Source organism: Homo sapiens, chromosome 21, assembly GCF_000001405.40.
Source record: "Homo sapiens chromosome 21, GRCh38.p14 Primary Assembly".
Taxonomy (NCBI): Eukaryota; Metazoa; Chordata; class Mammalia; order Primates; family Hominidae; genus Homo; species Homo sapiens.
In genome coordinates, this window is record NC_000021.9 from 28,785,331 (window position 1) to 28,804,358 (window position 19,028).

Below are 19,028 nucleotides of genomic sequence, written 5' to 3' on the forward strand. Positions count from 1 at the left end.
TTAACTTGTAATATAGTTTGGTACTTTTCAGGAAGACAATACAGCAATATGTATCAAACTTTAAAATTAGGCATGTTCCTTAACACAGCATTTTTACTGCTAGCACTTACCCCATGATAAATTACAAATATGTCCCCAATTCTTTACTTCTCCCTATATCCACAAGGTTTGCCATGTAACATTAAGTATATTCCCACTTTGACTCTTGCTTCAGTGCTGTAACTTCTTGTAGCAATGAGATATCAGCAAATGTTACACAAGAAGAGGATTGAAAAGGTGCGCATTTCTGCTTACATTCTTACACCTCAGTCATCACTATGTGAATATGCCCAGGTTAGCCTGCTGGAGAATAAGGGGCATTAGAGCAAGTCAAATCATCCTCATAGCCCCAGCCGACACTCAGTCATTCCCTACACATAAACAAATTCAAATGAGACCAGAAGAACCACCCTCCTGAGCCCAGCCTAAATTTCTGACTCAAAATTTATGACCATCTCCCGTATACACCATATTCCTTACCATTAGCATATTTTAGTCCTTCTAAAAGGACGCCTGACTCAAAATTTTATCAGTCAACTCATACTCATGTCTTATTTGATCTGAGAAAACTTTAAAAGTGAATTTTAAGATATTTGTTTATATTCCTTGTTCACACTTTCCTTGTGGTCTTTCACACTTGCTGCACCCATCTACCTCTAGACAACAAATTCATTATGGACAAGAACTTTGCATTATCTTTGATTCCTGGTGCATAACCCAGTGACTAGATGCTTGTTAAATGTCTGTTAACTGAATGGAAATGAGATCAGGACCAAGAGATCTAAGCTCTGGTTCTGGCTTCATAACTTAGGCAAATCACACCGCCATGTTTCAATCTTCTCAACCTGTGAAATGGTACAATATCATCTTATCTCTCAGCTTCACAAGGTTGTTGCAAAAACAAAATGATCTAATTTTTAAGTGTTTCGTAAAGTCTAAAACATTATTCACCCATAGGTCAAGTCTGTTATCTTTATTAAAACTTAATCTAATACCCCATTAAGGAATTGTAATTCTTGGGCCAGGTGCAGTGGCTCATGCCTGTAATCCCAGCACTTTGGGAGGCTGAGGCGGGCAGATTACCTGAAGTCAGCAGTTAGAGACCAGCCTGGCCAACATGGTGAAACCCTGTCTCTTCTAAAAATACAAAAATTAGCTGGGTGTGTTGGCACACACCTGTAATTCCAGCTACTTGGGAGGCTGAAGCACAAGAATCACTTAAACCCAGGAGACAGAGGTTTCAGTGAGCCAAGATTGTGCCACTGCACTCCAGCCTGGGTGATAAGAGTGAGACTGTCAAAAAAAAAAAAAAAAGGAATTCTAATTCTCTAGAAACAGAGATGTTCTCTGTTGCCAGATACATTAATATAAGAAAGACTGATGATATTATTAAAATCTATTTTCAAAACTTTTCTACATAGATAATAGTAATAACAGTACTTTTTTAAAAGAATGAAAATCTTGTAATATTTTCAACCATTGATAGAAGAAGCTACAAATTCAATGCAATCTCCATCAAAATACCACCATCATTCTTCACAGAGTTAGAAAAAACAGTTCTAAAATTCATATGGAACCAAAAAAGAGCCCACAGAGCCAAAGCAAGACTAAGCAAAAAGAACAGCTCTGGAGGCATCACCTAGGCACATAGACCAATGGAACAGAAGAGAGAACCCAGAAATAAATCGAAATACTTACAGCCAACTGATCTTCAACAAAGCAAACAAAATCATAAAGTGGGGAAAGGACACCCTTTTCAACAAATGGTGCTGGGATAATTGGCTAGCCACATGTAGGAGAATGAAACTTGATCCTCATCTCTCACCTTACACAAAAATCAACTCAACATGGATTAAGGACTTAAACCTAAGACCTGAAACTATAAAAGTTCTAGAAGGTAACATTGGAAAAACCCTTCTAGACATTGGCTTAGGCAAGGATTTCATGACCAAGAACCCAAAAGCAAATGCAATAAAAACAAAAAGAAATAGCTAGCACCTAATTAAACTAAAGAGCTTTTGCACGGCAAAAGGAACAGTCAGCAGAGTAAACAGACAACCCACAGAGTGGGAGAAACCTTCACGAGCTATACATCTGACAAAGGACTAATATCCAGAATCTACAGCAAACTCAAACAAATCAGTAAAAAAAAAGAACAATCCCATCAAAAAGTGGGCTAAGGACATGAATAGACAATTCTCAAAAGACATACAAATGGCCAACAAACACATTTAAAAATGCTCAACGTTACTAATGATCATGGAAATTCAAATCAAAATCACAATGTGATACCACCTCACTCCTACAAGACTGTCCATAATCAAAAAATGAAAAAACAGTAGATGTTGGCATGGATGCGGTGAGCAGTGAACACTTCTACACTGCTGGTGGGAATGCAAACTAGTACAGCCACTAGAGAAAACAGTGTGGAGATTCCTTAAAGAACTGAAAGTAGAACTACCATTTGATCCAGGAATCCTACCACTGGGTATCTACCCAGAGAAAAATAAGTCATTATTGGAAAAAGATACTTGCACGTGCATGTTTATAGCAGCAAAATTTACAACTCCAAAATCAGGGAACCAACCCAAATGCCCATCAATCAATGAGTGGATAAAGAAACTATGGTATGTATATATATATGTATACTATTTCAAACTAGACTATAAGGCCATAGTCACCAAAATAGCGTGGCACTGGTATAAAAAATAGGCACATAGACCAATGGAACATAGTATTCCATCATATATGTATATATGTGTATATATGTAAATATACATATATGTATACATATATACTCCATCATATATACACATATATACGTATATACGTATATATACGTATATATGTATATATACACGTATATACGTATATATGTATATATGTATACATATATATTCCATCATATATACACACACACACACACACACACACATATATATGTGTATACATATATGATGGAATACTATGCAGTCATAAATAGAAATGAATTAACAGCATTGCAGTGACCTGGATGAGACTGGAGACTATTATTCTAAGTGAAGTAACTCAGGAATGGAAAAGCAAACATTGTATGTTTTCACTGATAAGTGGAAGCTAAGCTATGAGTACAAAACGGCATAAGAATGATACAAACGGACTTTGAGGATTTGAGGGAAAAATCGGAGAGGGGCAAGGGATAAAAGACTACAAATATGGTGCAGCGTATAACTGCTCGGGTGGTGGGTGAGCCAAAATCTCACAAATCATCACTACCAAGAACTTACTCATGTAGCCAAATACCACCTGTACCCCAATAACTTATGGAAAAATAAAATAAAAATCTTTAGGTACTCCAAAAAAAAAAAAAAAGAAAAAATGCCACTGTCCTGGGTTGAACAGTATTCATGTCCACCAGACTCTCAGAACGTAACCCTATTTGGAAATAGGGTCCTTGCAGATGTAATCAGTTAAGATGAGATCATACTGGATTAGGTAGGGCCCTAATATAATGAGTGATGTCCTTAGAAGAAGGCCATATAAAGACACCCAGTGGAGACAGCCATGTGAAGACGCAGGCATAGATTGGAGTGATGCATCTACAAACCAGGGAATGCCAAGGATTGCTGGGGCTACAGAAACAAGGAGAGAGGCGGGAAACAGATTCTCCCTGCAACCCCCTAAGAGGGAACAAACTCTGCTGACTCCTTGATTTCAGGTTTCTGACCTGCAGAATTGTGAGAAATAAATTTTTGTTGTTTTAAGTTTAAAAAAAAAGGCAAATATCCAGTTAAATTTGAATTTCAGATGAATATCAAGTAAGTTTTTAGTGTAAGGACGTCCCAGGTAACATTGGCAGTATTTTTATCTTCTATATGTGGCAACCTTGGTAATAGAAGGCTTTTTATTTTTAATGCCCTACTGCTTTCTATAGGTTTGAGGATGTAAGATTGGCTGTGAGGTGCTGAGAAATAGCTCAATAAACGGCGTATAGCTCTCAATTGTGGAAAGATATGGATGCCCAACTGAAAGCCAGGAAGTTAGCACTAGCAAGGAAGGGGAAGAAGACAAGATGCTTGGCAGAGGCCTAAGGGGCATGGGAGAGGGGATATGAGGGAAAGTTATGAAATGTTATGCTATTTTCTTAAAAGATAAAATAAAATCATCCTTCTAATCTTCTACAAGTGCATTTCAGTAAAATCTACATTGCTAACTAATGCCTTGGGGTAGAAGTAGGTAAATTCTTTCTAGAGTGGATTCTTTCTTGGCATTAAATGATATCAAGTCCTACTTAAAGTTTGACACAAAACAGCCGACATGTAGATTATACGAGTAATTGGAGAAAGTCTTGCAAGCAACAGCAAGCCCACATATGACATATACTTGCTTCAGCCTCTAACGGGCAGGTCTGCAAAACCACCCTGAATAAATGTGAACCAAAGTAGATAAGGCCCTGCTTAGGGCTAGTAACTGATAGCTCCTGAGCAACTAAAAGCAGAGTGTTTAGACTAAGACCAGACTAAAATCACTCACTCACTCACTCACTCATAGAAAACAATACCCATATGAAGATTTTTTTTATTATTAAACATTGGTCTAATGCTAAAAAGTTTAAACACCAACAGAGCATTGTAAACCCACTGCCTTGTGAGTTAACTTTAACTTACTTAGTTAACTAACTACATTTTTAACGTAGTGTTTCCATTTTTAAAAACAAACTTGGCCACTTCACAAACACTTCATGGCTAATCATTTTATAATATAGTTTATTTACAGAAATGAAATGAATTTTGGTAATTTGAAGCAATGAACTACATCATAAAACATCTCTGAAATCTTTTTGAATTGTCAGTTTTCAAAACAAAAACTCAGAAATGTGATTCCATTTTGATGATAAACACCTGCAATAAACTAGGAATATTTTTTCAACCCACTCTCCCAGTTGTGTTACACATCAAACTGCTATTTGGTTAGGTGGGAAGGAGGGGGATTAATTGTTGTTAATGGTTTTTATTATTCAGAAAGAATTTAAATCCGTGAAACCTGCATTTGTCAAGCATCAAGCGTCTTGCAGACTGCCACAGAGAGTACCAAAGTTCTGGTGTTTTGCTGATCCTTTGTTTTGGACATTGTTTGACTGTTTTAAATACAACAGTTTCCATTCAGCATTAACTGTGAAAGACACAGCACAAGAATACCCCAGGGCTGGTGTGAGAAAAACATAGCAGGATTATCTGATGGAACAATTCCGGGCACAGAGTAAGGGATCTATCCATAGTCACTGAATGAATAAATACTTCTGTAGCTTCCCTCTAACTTTAGGAAAAAATATTAATGAAGGAAAAATGAATTCTGGATTCATTGAGAACATTTTGGAAATAGTTTAAATGATATTGCATATGTGTGTATTCTAAATGCTTTTTTGTATTTTCTAAAGAATATTTTGACACAGGAAGGGGAACATCACACTCTGGGGACTGTTGTGGGGTGGGGGGAGGGGGGAGGGATAGCATTAGGAGATATACCTAATGCTAAATGACGAGTTAATGGGTGTAGCACACCAGCATGGCACATTTATACATATGTAACTAACCTGCACATTGTGCACATGTACCCTAAAACTTAAAGTATAATAATAAAAAAAAGAATATTTTGCAAATAAAGTAAAAGAAACACCCTTGATTGACAGTATTCCATTTGTGAGCCAGTGGTTAGACATAGAAAATGATGGATTAGGGACAGCAGGTAGACCAAGAGTTCCCAACCTTGGCTGCATGTTAATATTACCTCAGTTGCTTTTTTAGAATCCCAATTCCCAGGTCACACCCCACACTCATGAAATCAAAATCTGTGTGGGTAGAACACAGGCATCAATATTTTAAAAAGTGATTTCATTATGCGATCAAGGTTGAGAATAACAGATATGACTCTAATTCTTCTCTTGTCCCATGGAATAGTGTACAGAAAGCTACATTTGGGACAAGCAATGGATAAAAATTCACCCTGTGTTTCTGAGATGGTGGGGTATTGTTCCTCCTGGATAAAGAATCTTTCACCTTTTTCTACACTGTGTTTTCAACTGGGAGGTGAATAAAGTGGAAACAAAAAATAAACATAATTCAAAAAAAGGGTGAGAGAGTGGGGCTAAGGTAAGCTGAGTGTTCAATATTTCCTCTTCCAACAAGATTCCTCTTATCATGCTCTATTTGACATAATCTTATAAAAGTTAATGTTTAATAGAAACATACAAACAATTTTAAGAAATCTCTACTAGCATTTTGTGTCAGGGAAGGTCAAAACTGAGACCCACTACTCTGGTGTCTTCTGCTACTGGATTTATTTGTGCCTGGGTTGACCATGAGGGAGTCATTGGCAACTTTAAGCAGCAGTAGGAGGATTGGCCAATCCACTGTGCCCAAATTACCAGAGTGACTCCATCTTGAATAGGGGACGGGGAAAATGAGGATGAGACCTGCTGGGCTGTATTCCCAGGTTAGGCATTCTAAGTCACAGGAAAAGACAGGAGGTTGGCAGGACTGTTATCACAAGATACAGGTCATAAAGACCTTGCTGATAAACCAGGATGCAGAGAAGAAAAAAAAAGAAAGCCCACCAAAGATGGTGGCTTTGGCCAAGATGGCAACGAAAGTGATCTTTGATCAACCCCACTGCTCATTATATGCTAATTATAATGCATTAGCATGCTAAAAGACACTCCTACCAATGTCAGGACAGTTTACAAATGCCATGGTAGTATCTGGAAATTACCCTATATGGTCTGAAAGGGGAAGAATGGTCAGTTCCAGGAAATGCCCGCCCCTTTCCTGGAAAACTCACGAATAATCAACCCCTTGTTTAGCATATGATCAAAAAATAACCATCAAAATGCCAACCAGCAGCCCTCTGGTTGTTCTCTGTATGAACATAGCCTGTTCTGCCTATGGAGTAGCCTATCTTTTATTTCTTTACTTCCCTAATAAACTTGCTTTCACTTTATTGTGTGGACTTGTCCCAAATTCTTTCTTGCTCAAGATCCGATACCCCTCTCTTGGGATCTGGATCAGAATCGCTTTCTGGTAACAAAATCTCTTAAGCCCCCACAAGTGAGAGGGATGAGACTTAGAGGGAAAAGCTCAGGGACTCCAAAGACTATTCAATGGAAGGTCCTCTGTGCCCTGCTCTTGCGGTTGTAAGAAACAGAGTCCCATGGTCTATCTCAGATGATGTCTTTCTGGGTGAATACTTGGTACAATAAGAGAAATGTGACTTCCACAAGAATCCCCAAATTGTGAAATGGTCTAACTCAGCAACAGCTGTGTATTGAACCTCTGCCCCTAGAGTGACATGGCAATGCTCCGTCTTGCTTTCTACCTGCTCAGCAACTGCTGAGCTTATCAATACTGCGTCTTCTCTTCCTCATTATGCCTGCTTTCTCAAGAGTACAGCTTCCTATGCCTTCCTAGGGTTCTCACTGTTTTTCATCTCCATCTGGATCTTTTCAGCATTTGCTCCCAATGCCCAGGTAAATCAGGGGCACCTAGGCATCAGTATCTTCTAAAGCTCCCCAGAGGATTCAATGTGCAACCAAGCAGATAACCACTGCACCAAAGAACAGTGGGTACAAGTAAGGCAACTTGGATTTATAATTACCACCTTAGCCCAAAAGGAAGAAAACTGGAGAAGGTAACTTATAATGCCTGGGAATTCTGTTCTCCTTGCATTTTATTTTAATTCAGTGTCTTGTTTCTCTATCTATACAGCACACATTTATTCACATGGATTTTAGTATTTTAACTGTGTTGTACTTAAAGGAAAGCAAACATGCCTTCTGAAGTGATGGTCTTTGAGCCACTAGTCAAGAGATTGGGGCTCTCTAATGAGCCAAGACTCCCATCTAGTGGTAACCACCTCTGAATTGCAAATAGAAGGTTTCTCAACTTTTATTAATGACAAAACTTTTTGGGAAGTGGCTGGTCAATTTCAATAACTCATTTGCCTAAAACGAAATGCACCTATTTGTCAAAAGACCTTTGCCACTTCCAATCTGTGTGTGTAAATATCCCCGGGATAAATTATTGCTATTTATTTGAACTTATGAAGGAAAACCAACTTCACTTCACGATTCTGTCAAATAAGTGTGTTTTAGTGAATTCAGAGGTTGTGTGACTGATAAAAGTAAGTGGTTATTATGAAATAGTTCATACACATCCAAAGTGAAATGACTAATGATAAAACCTTAGAGGATGCTGTGAGGTGAGTGGTGGTCCCTGAAAAAGTATGTCAGCATCCCAATCCCCAAAATCTGTGAATGTGACCTTATTTGGAAATGGGGTCTTGGTCCATATCATTATTATGTTATGTTAAGAATCTTGAAAACAGATCATCCTGGATTATCCAGGTGGGCCCTAAATCTAACACAAGTGCTTTATAAGAAGCACAGAGAAGAAGAGAAAAAACAGGGAGAAGGAGTCAAAGGCCATATGAAGACAACAGCAGAGATTGGAATTAATGCAGCCAGAAGCCAAGAGGACATCTGAAACCACCAGAAGCTGAAAGAGGCAAGAAATCTCCACTCGAGCCTTCGGAGAGAACATGGCCCTACTGACACCTTCATTTCAGACTTCCAGCCTGAAGAACTTTGAGAAAATAATTTTCTGTTGTTTTAAGACATCCACTGTGTGGTAATTTGTTACAGCAGACTTAAGAAAGTAGTATGGTTTCCTCTTCCTTTCTTTTCAGTACACTCCTTCAGAAAACAAAAATAGCATATTTGGAAATGACCTAGGTACCTAAAGTTTTTTTTAATAATATACATATAAATTCATTGCTCTACAATATTATAGGATGGTATTCAATCAACAGCATAAATACTTCACTGTCTACCTACAATTTTCAAAGGTATTTTGGATAGCAAACTTTTCATTTCAGAAGTTTTTCACTACAAATACCTTAACTGAAAGACTAATCAACTAAAATTCTTCTTTCTAAGATAGAACATGAAGCAACAAGAGTTTTGCCTAAATATGGATGAGTGTAATGAGAATAACTCAAATTTCATGTCCAGTTGGGACAGCACAGTCAATTCAACAGGAATGTTTATGAGTTGTTTATCATGTGAAGTATTTGGAAGGTATGCAAACACTAAAAACAACAATGTCAATACAATTAAATGGAGGCATTCATAAAACTGTTGTTCAGATCAGCAGGTAATCTTGTAACTGCATATTTGAGAATTTCAAGGAAGGAAATGTACAAATAATCAAAGGCAGAAAATTCCCTTCAGGAAATGTGGTATCCACATATTGTATGACAAGCTTGCTTTTACTGAATAATGCATGAAGATGTCTGTTTTAAATCGTTCACTGACTACAGAGTTGACAAATAACCACTGAAGAACAATGGGACTGGGCACCAGATGCCTTTGTTTCATATCTGACTCTGCGAAGGCTGTTTCTTTCCTAGGGAACTGGGGGTTCTATGTAACATGAGACTCAAGCAAAAAGTGTGGATTCTGTGGTATGCTCATGGGATGGTTCCAGTAAATGTGCTGATAGAATTCTGGGGCCCAAGAGTTGACGATGGGTGCCATTAAAGTCCAGACCTGGTGCCGTAGCACTTTGATGTGTCAAAGGCTTAGGTTCTGCCATTTTTCTGAACAAATATATTCAAATAGAACACTACATAAAAATGTAAAGGGCCTTGTAGGGTCAAATGAAAGTCTGAGCAGAGAATGAACAATATCCCTATGAGATCAAAGTGCTGTCTTTGTTGAATTAATTCCATTATTTTTTGTTCTCATTGTTTTCAAAACAATTAATAGATACACTGAGAAAGAAGGAAAGCAAGAGAGTTACTCTGATAATGATGGCTCTCATTTATAAATCCATGAAAAGTAATATCAATTTTCTTTCTTAATAGATGAGAAATCTAAAACTAAGAATGGGTGAGGAACTTGCCCCAATATCACAGAGCCAATAACTAAGGTGCTTCTCTCCCAGAACCTTTGCTACTTCCTGGCTGATGCCAAAACACTGCCTAATAAGGACCTCAAAAAAAAAATCTTTCTAATGAACTGACCATTGGTCAAGTGTCTCCCCTCTCCAGTTCCAACAGACTCTGCTGGAGTCACAAACGACAAGGAACCTTGTCTCTTCATCTCTTTATCTGCAATACCTACCATGGTGATCATTCATAATAAAGCACTCAACATGTGTTTACTGGGTGAACAGATAAAAGGTACAGAAAAGAGGGAAAGGGCTCAGGAAAAACTACACAGAACATTTCAGAAGTATTTGCCATTTCCATGTGGAAATGTCAATCATAGATAAATATCCCAATCATGATGATTCATAAAATATATTCAGAGGAGCCCAATGTTCAGGAAATGCAAACTATCTGCAGTGTGAATTTGGAGCACAGGTTTGAAAACTTAGAGGCTGATCGAAAAGGAAATTTGGTTTACAATTTTGTAATTATCAGGTATATGATAATTAATTATCCTAAAGTGATATTGAAGGCTTGGCCTGAGTCTGATGACAATATTAGAAATCTGAGTGAGAAAATGATCAGCAGTTTGACTGTTTAAAGGTTTGTTGGTTGTTCCTTACCTTTTAAAACTGAGTCTCTAGCCGCTAGCTACTGTGTCCCAGGGGGCCTTGTGCCCTCTACCTCCTGTTTTCTCTGAAAACAAATGAGATTTTTTATACTGCCTTGACTCTATACAGATTTTCCTGCTCTTAAGAGACAAACAGAAGAGTGATACTTCAAAGCTAGAATAAATGTATTTTATTTTATTTTATGTTTTCAGACCGAGTCTCACTCTGTCGCCCAGGATGGAGTGCAGTGGCGCTGTCTCAGCTCACAGCAACCTCCGCCACCCGCCCCACTCTCTGCGATTCTCCTGCCTCAGCCTCCCGAGTAGCTGGGATTTATAGGTGCCTGCCACTACGTCCGGCTAATTTTTGTATTTTTAGTAGAGACAGGGTTTCACCATGTTGGCCAGGCTGGTCTAGAACTCCTGACCTCAGGTGATCTGTCTGCCTCAGCCTCCCAAAGCGCTGGGATTACAGGCGTGAGCCACGACACCCAGCCAAATAAATGTATTTTAAATCTGGGATATATGTTCCAATTAGCTAGACTCTGAAATTTCAGACTTTAGCTTCAGTCAGAGGCTATTAGAACTATTCCAAAAAATGCACAGAATTAATAAACTATTGACGGATGAGTAAGAAAAAAAAACTGAGTCTTACTCTGCCATCAAGGCAGGAGTGCAGTGGTGCAATCACAGTTTACTGCAGCATCTACCTCTTGGGCTCAAGTGATCCTCCCACCACAGCCTCCCAAGTAGCTGGGACCACAGGTACATGCCACTATACTCAGCTAATTTTTATTAATTTATTTTGTAGAAACGGGAGTCTCCCTATGTTTCCCAGGCTGGTCTCAGACTCCTGGGCTCAAGTGATCCTCCCGCCTTAGCCTCCCAAAGTGCTGGGATTACGGACATGAACCACTGCACTTGGCCTGTTGGTTGTTCCTTTAGGATATAACAATTAATATTAAAGGCACTTCAATATAAATTTCAAATTGTAATTTAAGTTTTTTCCAGGGTCACTATTTTGTATATTTATATTTTTAGTTTATTCTGTTTTGTTGGTAGCACCCAAGTATTCCCTAGGCTGTTGGTTGTTCCTTCCGACAGTTTCTAGGACAGAAAATGGGTCTTTCTCCCAATAGAGATAAGGAATTGGTAAACTGCCTTGGATGCCAAGATATTCTTGTTTTATGTACACTTGGCAGAAGTCATCTACAACCATCTGCAGACTCTAACTCTTCACTGGGGCCCACAGTCATCCCCACTGTTGAATGCACATTGCACTCCTGTTCTGAAGGAACAAAGGAAGGACAGGAAATGAGTGAACCCAGTGAGGAAAAAGCTTTTAAGATATGTATCAAAAAGAAAAAGGAAGGCCGGAACCAGTGGCCCATGCCTGTAATCCCAGAACTTTGGGAGGCTAAGGTGGACGGATTGCTTGAGCCCAGAAGATGGAGCCCATCCAAGGCAACATGGTGAAACCCTGTCTCTACCAAAAAAAACAAAAAAAAAAAACAAAAAACAAACAAAAAAACAAATTAGCTGTGTGCCTGTGGTCCCAGCTGCTCAGGAGGCTGAGGTGGGAGAATCGCTTGAATCTGGGAGGTGGAGGTTGCAGTGAGTGGACATCGTGCCACTGTATTCCAGCCTGGGTGACAGTATGAGACTCTGTCTCAAAAAAAAAGAAAATGAGAAACCTAGAGACTGAAGAATCCAATTCTCAGTATTAAAAGATGGGAAAAAAATAACTTGGGTGACAGCTATTAGGCTGAAATAGGCACAAGATAATAAAACCCAACATCATAATAATGAGGAAAACTAGCTTGTGTAAAACAGAAGATGACAGTTGGAAGATTAAAAAGGTACTGCCTGTTGTTGCTAAAAGGTAAAAATAAGGGGTTCTGTGACATGTGGGTGCAAAAGGAGCTATTGAGAGGCTTAAAGGAGCATTTAGAGCTGATACAGATAATCAAAGTTTCTGTTGATTCCTATCTGCATGGCTGGACTTACTGATCCCACCAAACATTCTTCCCTCATGCTCCATGAGTTTTCAATCCTTTAACTTCTAACTGGAACACCATGCACCCTGCCTCCTTTTAGGCTTAGTTTCTGCCAACAGCCAGTCCTGAGGATCCAGGCAAGTGACCCTGTGTTATCTTTCCGCTCTCCCTTCTCTCCTTCGTTCATCAAGCAGCAACCGCTACTTTCAGTGCTTCTCTGCACACGGAGTATAGACAGGTTCCGAGTATGTGAAGCTCAGCTTGGGGTTTGAGGAGGGTGTTTAAAATCACTACCTCCATGCCTCTTGACCACTTCCAGATGAAATTCAAGAACAATCAAAAGATAAACAGAACAGCACTGAACTTTGCAGACATACTTTTTTCGCATGGTAACCCTGTGGCCTGGGGCAATTTAATTGATCTCTCTGTGCTCAGTTTACTCATCTGCAAAATGAGCATATAGGCATACCCACCCCATAGAGTTTCTGTGAGAATAAAATGAGATACTGTATGTTCAGCAGTCATTCTGTGCTAGACACCATGCTAATAACTGAATAAGTAAGCCTGTTTTTTTTTTATTATAATTGTTCTATTTATCACCCATAAAGTCTGTAACTCTAGAGCCTGAGTGGAAACTAAATAAGGGATGTGTGGCCACTCATTTTTTCCTTTTGATCCCTGTCCTGTGTTCTTTGGGGGCCTGGACAGGAAAAGAAATGGTAGCACCAGAGCTGTCAATTAATAGAGATGAATAGTAGTCATGGTGGGTGTCATAGTAGGAATTGTGCCACTAGTAGTAGAAGCTGTAGTAACAGCTAATACAGCTAATACAACTCCTTGGGTTGTGCCAAGGAGTGTGTTAACGACACAAATCTCCATGCATTGCTCATTGCCACTACTCTTAAAGCTAGAGATGTGTGCAGCCTTAGGGCAGTTATATCTCCTGCAGCAAAATGCATCCCTATCCCTCATCAGTAATTTGAGATGTCTGTGCCTTCCTAAGGATCTTTCAGGATACTCTTTCAACCTACTGGAATCCTAATTTGAGTGCTGTCCTAAGAATGTAAACTGACACTGAACTGGTGGTTTTCCAACTGCACTGTGCACACAACAGAGATTTCCAAATTCCACAGCACCTCCCTAGGATTGCCAGGGCTGGTGGCATGATCAACAATTTGGGTTCTGTATTAGTCCATTTTTATGCTGCTGATAAAGACATACCCAAGACTGGGCAATTTACAAAAGAAAGAGGTTTAATGGACTCACAGTTCCACGTGGCTGGGGAGGCCTCACAATCATGGAGGAAGGTGAAAGGCATGTCTCACATGGTGGCAAACAAGAGAAGAGAGCTTCTGCAGAGAAACTTCCCTTTTTAAAATCATCAGATCTCATGAGACTTATTCCCTATCATGAGAACAGCAAAGGAAAAACCCACCCCCATGATTCAATTACCTCCCACTGGGTCCCTCCCACAACATGTAGGAATTGTGGGAGCTATAATTCAAGATGAGATTTGGGTGGGGACACAGCCAAACCCTATCAGGTTCCAAGACTCAAACCCTCTTCACCCAGAGTGAGTCTGCATTCATCTGTTTCAACATTGTCCTCTCCTCATCATCTCACTGAGAAAACTTTGTAGACAAAGAGCTCACAGTTTTCAAATGACTGTGAAAGCCAAAGCACTAAACTTGGTTTCCTCCTATAAAATCACAATTCTAAACCCTCTGAAGGATTTCATCAACCATATTAGTGCTTAACTCCTGAAGGTTTGGAAAGCCCTATGAGATTTTCAAAAATGTTCCCTATTTTTCCCTATGTGAATACAAAATATTATTTTTAACTTATCCTCTCATTCTTCTATCTGTATCTTTATTTATGCAAAACTATCCATATTTTTGATCAGGTAAAATGTTTGGCATGCCCAAATTTGGAATCTTCTTTTATGGTTTTGTTTTTTGTGTAGTTCAGTGATGAGAGGACCCAGCTTCAAGCACATAACCAGATACCCATTTTTTATGTCTACAAGTAAGAGCATTTTCCAAGAACACTCAAGTCTGGCAGTATACACTTTGAAACTCACATTGTAGCTTTGGCAATCCTGTTTTATGCACGTGATGCTGCAGTTTATGTGCAATCGTGCTTTCCAAGACACGGAAACTCCTCATGGCTGTACCCATCAGTCCAGACCTACGTTGGTTGGGAAATCAAAACACTGTCACCATGACTGAGTTATCTGTCTCTTGCTTCCAAGTGGGCCCCTTTGTTTTAAAGCAGTGGTGCTTAAACACCAGACAGACTCATCTCATGCTGACGTACATGTGAAATTCTCGCACTACACAATCTTGGATGGCTTCACGTTGTAACAGAAAAACCAACCCAACCACTAAGAAATCCAGTTAAAACAATGCTTTAATGTAATCTTTTTTTTTTAATGCAGTGGAATTGAGGAAAGGATGTGTAAGCTCTGTGTTCACGACCCTTTCAGATCACACCCTATGTTTCCCTGCATTTGGCAGGTCCTGATCTGTACCCATTATATTAAAAGTGTAACTGTAAATGCATGTACATATATATGCTTATACACATTATATATAAATGTATATATATCATATGTATGTTTTATGTGTATAGATGTATCTGTGTGTATGTAAATATATATTGTGCATGTGTATGCCTTTGTGTGTATATATCTGTAAATCTATATATATGTGTATATGTAGTGGAGGATTGTGAGACCTCACAAGATTGATAAAGTATCAAACAATGCCTGTATTTTTTAAAAGGAGCTGTTTTTCAACATATAGAGAAATAATGTCAATTCCTGGATTAATACTCTTTTAGAAAAGGCCAATTTTCATTGATTTCAAGTAGCTCATGTTATTCAGTAACAATCTCAGCCTTCAAAAGTAGCCAAAAGAAAAGCAGAATAAATGGTCTCCTAAATAAAATGACCTGTGGGGCCCATCATTGACTAAGTAGCCTTTTTACTCATCTCATACAGCCTCTTCCTAATAAAAATGAAGCAGCATCGTGAGAACAGTAGGGAGAAAGGGTGAACAGACAGAGGTTTACGGGTCAGGACAGAGTACCAGGGTTAGGACAGATACCAGGAAAGAGGAAAAGAACACACTGTGGAAGAAACAGGGCACCAGCTTCACACTTGTGCCTCAGGCCAGCTTTGTCAAAGTGTCCTGAGTACATGAGGTATCCTCTAAACATTTATTAACCAAATGCACAGAGAGGCATGTTGACAGGGATTTAGCGTATGACAAAGGTGGCATATCAAACCCATGGGGGAAAGGTGCTACTCAATAAATGGTTTGGAGACAACTGGGAGCCAACTAGAAAGAATAAAATAAAATTGGATTCATACCTCACATTTTATACTAGGACAAATTACAAATGGATCGAATATTTTATAGTAAAAAATAAAACTATAAACATTCTTTTTTTAAAAGGGATAACTTCTTTATAATCTTGGAGTTGTAAAAATAAATTATAATTTTGAACTAGGGAAGATCTTTCTAGCCATAATTCAAAATATATAAATGAAAAAAGAAAAAATGATAATTTGATGACAAACTTCTTCATGGACAGAAACATTAAAAGCCAATCAATAGGAAAATTTGAAAAAATATATTTGAAATTTATATCACAAAAGGCTACTCTCCCTGATACACAAAGATCACCTAGAAATCAACAAGAAAAGACCAACACAATATAGCAAAGGATATAAACAGACAGCTTAGAGAAAAAGAGTATAAGATTAGGTTAAATCATATGAAACTAATTGTTAAAAATGTTTGAAAATTGGCAATTTCAAATGATTTAAACAAATAGCTATGAAACATACGAGAGAATGTTCAATAACACTTATAAGAAGAGAAAGGCAAATTAGAACATCACTGTTGGATTAACAAAAAAAGAATCCAAAAATTTGGAAACTCACTATGTGGTGAGCTGTGGGGAAACAGAGGCTCTCACACATCATTGGTATAAATTAACTTATCTTTGGCGGCCAATTTGGCATATCTATTGAAATTACATATATATATATAAGCTTTGGCTAAGCAATTCTACTTTGGAGAATGTATCCTGTATATATACATGAGCAAAATGATGAGTGTACAAAGTTACTCATTTCAGCCTTGTTTATAACAGCAAAAGAGTAGGAATACATAAGCAAGTGCCTAGCAATAGGGACCAGTTAAAAACATAATGAGTCATTGGTACAATGACTTTCTATACAGCTTGTAAAAAAGTAAGAAGTTTCTTATGTACAGACATATCTGTAAGATCTCCAAGAAATACTAAGTGAAAAAATTAAATACAGAACAGTGTGTGTTGTATGTTACCCTCTGTTGAAAATAAAAGGAAGAGAAATAAGTCTCTATATTCATATTTCTTCTCTATGCATAAAGAAATTCTGGAAGGATACAACATAAAAAACTAATAATACCAGTTACATAGAGAGGGAGCTGGAATGGGGAACAGAAATGGCAAACAGGCCAGGTGTGGTGGCTCAGGCCTGTAATCTCAGCACTTTGGGAGGCCAAGGTGAGTGGATTACTTGAAGTCAGGAGTTCAAGACCAGCCTGGCCAAAATAGTGAAACCCCGTCTCTACTAAAAAAAACACAAAAATTAGCTGGGCATAGTGGCATGAGCCTGTAGTCCCAGCTACTCGGGAGGCAGAGGCAGGGGAATCACTTGAACCCAGGAAGGGGAAGTTGCAGTGAGCTGAGATAACATCACTGCACTTCAGCCTGGGTGACAGAGTGAGACTCCGTCTCGAAAACAAATAAAAAATTAAAAAAGAAATGAAAAATATATTTTCTTGTCAAGCTTTTAATAATTTTAGCATTTTGAACCAGGTGAATGCATTATCTATTCAAAACAATTTTAACTTAAAAATAAATAAATGAGTCTTATGACTGATCAACAAAGGATTTGGAGTAGATGCTTGTTTATATCATTTATACACTAGATCATCTACATAAGTTGTGGGACTCTGAGAAAATTAAAATATGAGGTCTCTTGTTATAAACTTTTTAAGAACTTCAAGATGGCAGCAGCACAGCATTAAACCAATCACTGGGGCCCTTCTAAGAATGGGTCAGGCACCTGTGAAGTTAGCCCTGGTTGCACACAACTGTACTCATCAGAATATAAAATTCAGAATACTAATGTCATTCCCAAAGGGAAGCAACTGGCTTCTCAAAAACCCAGGCAGCAGAAGTCTTGGAAAAAATCATTTCCCTCGATTTCACATACACTTCATGTTCTGTTGGTTCCTAAGCAATTAACCTGAATATATACGGGTGCTGATCCCAAGGGATTAACATACACATCCTAAAACCTCAAGCTTTGGAGACTAACCATCTTCGATCACAAATTTGTGATCATGCAAAATAATAGAATCTTAAGAAATGGCCTTTGTATACATAGTCAGTTTTTTGAAATAATAAGTTTTTATTTTACTGCACTCAATTAAATTGTGAAACCCAAATAAAGTCTGGAGCCCAATGTGGTCCAATCTCAATCTACTGCTACAGTCAAAGAATCATAGCTTAGCAGCCAGAAAGTACTGAAAGAAACTTCCAAGGTTTTCTTTTTCAGCTTCTTAAGAAAATGCCAAAGAAGGAAATATATTCTTAATGCCCAGAAAAACACATTTTAAATTCTCTCTCATCACTACCTCTATTAGGCTCCTCCATAAAGCTATTAATAGTAGCTGCTTCCCAAAACTCTCTCCTCCCGTTTACACCCCACCTTCACCCACATAGATTTTCTGTTCCTTACCTCATTTCTTTCTACCTCTACTACTCTTCCCTCTTCTCACTTATTCAAATGTGAATCATCCATTTCTATTTCTTGGGTACCCCAATTAGAGTAATTGTCTGAATTATAAGGGTTGGGTTAGGGGAGGCAGAACTTTAGAGCAATGCCAGAATTGTCTTTCATGGGCAAGAGAAGGGCAACGAGTTATGCATACTCACAAATAATTTCTGTCCTTGTTACAGTTGCAGTTATCAACACTGTACTGCTAACAGAATTTCTTCCAAAATGACTGTAGCATATTCCTCAGGAAATTCATACTGACAATTGTTTTGGAATGAAGAAATGAAGCACAAGTACTCTATCAGTATCTAAAAAATGAAGCCAACATTCTAAATAATCTTGTTCAATTAACATATGGTATTTATTAGCTTTATCTCCAAAAGATAAAGGCTATCTTCTTATGAAAAACCTTTTTCCCATCTCTTCTAGAATCAGGAAGTTCAGACAAATTTACTTGATTTTCTGTGCTGTTCCAACTAGCCCAAGAGTTACTATCTGTGACTTTGGTACTGCTTATGTTTATCTACCATTGCTCCATTACTTCAAAAAATGCAAAACAAGACTTGAACATTTTGTAATT

The 19,028-nt window shown here is 38.2% G+C and overlaps 1 protein-coding gene across 1 annotated transcript in view, besides 1 other annotated feature; it reads right to left on the reverse strand.

Moving 5' to 3' along the window:
• HEMK2 (HemK methyltransferase 2, ETF1 glutamine and histone H4 lysine) overlaps window positions 1–19,028 on the reverse strand; it is a 309,770-nt gene that overhangs the window by 209,733 nt on the left and 81,009 nt on the right. The gene's annotated exons all lie outside the window — the stretch shown is intronic.
• Window positions 4,183–4,383: a silencer, noted in NCBI's record as "peak4395 fragment used in MPRA reporter construct". NCBI's record gives its function as "represses an SCP1 promoter by STARR-seq MPRAs in K562 erythroleukemia cells {active_cell/tissue: K562}" and the evidence as "EXISTENCE:reporter gene assay evidence [ECO:0000049][PMID:32103011]".